Consider the following 889-nt stretch of genomic DNA (forward strand, 5'->3'; position numbering starts at 1 on the left):
TCTTAAAAATATACATAAAATTTGAACAACTTAAAAATTGAACTAATTTCTAAAATATATCCTATAATTATATAATACACAGACATTTGTTACCATCTAAGCATTTTGTATATGAAAAAATTATGCAATTTACAAGAAAATATTTTACAAAATAATCTGGAATACTTGCTAAAGCTGTATAAAAAGTATACTAAATTTTAGGCTGGGCGCAGTGGTTCATGTCTGTAATCCCAGCACTTCGGGAGGCCAAGGTGGGCAGATCATTTGAGGTCAGGAGTTTGAGACCAGCCTGGCCAACATGGTGAAACCCTGTCTGTAATTAAAAAAATACAAAAATTAGCCAAGTGTGGTGGCATGCGCCTGTAATCCCAGCTACTCGGGAGGCTGAGTCAGAAGAATTGCTTGAACCCAGGTGGTGGAGGTTGCAGTGGGTCAAGATTGCACCACTGCACTGGCACGGAGAAGCGAGACTCCTTTGGGGGAGAAAAAAACATACTCAATTTAAAAAATTTAATCTATATTTGACAATGTAGCCTAAGGTGCCCATTAGTTGATACATCATTATAGGGCAAGTGAAATTCTAGATTAATTCTTGAACAGAAATAAGATTAAGCTGTAAATATATTTAGACTTTTCACTGCCTGATCTTGAATATCAGTTTCTTTTGGAAAGGAGAAAATGCAACTTTTCTGGCCACTGTTAACAACTGCAATCTAAAATTTTTTACATCAAATATTGTAAAAAGTTAAATTTCCAAGACAAAGACCAAGAACAGTATCATTACTTTGCAAAGGAAAGAAATATAAAGAATACAACTTAAAATTAACCTGTGGATCTGAAATATAAAATGTTATTAAAAATAAATTAATGTTAAGGCTAGAACTGAAGA

The sequence above is a fragment of the Homo sapiens genome, chromosome 6, assembly GCF_000001405.40.
Source record: "Homo sapiens chromosome 6, GRCh38.p14 Primary Assembly".
NCBI classification, from domain to species: domain Eukaryota; kingdom Metazoa; phylum Chordata; class Mammalia; order Primates; family Hominidae; genus Homo; species Homo sapiens.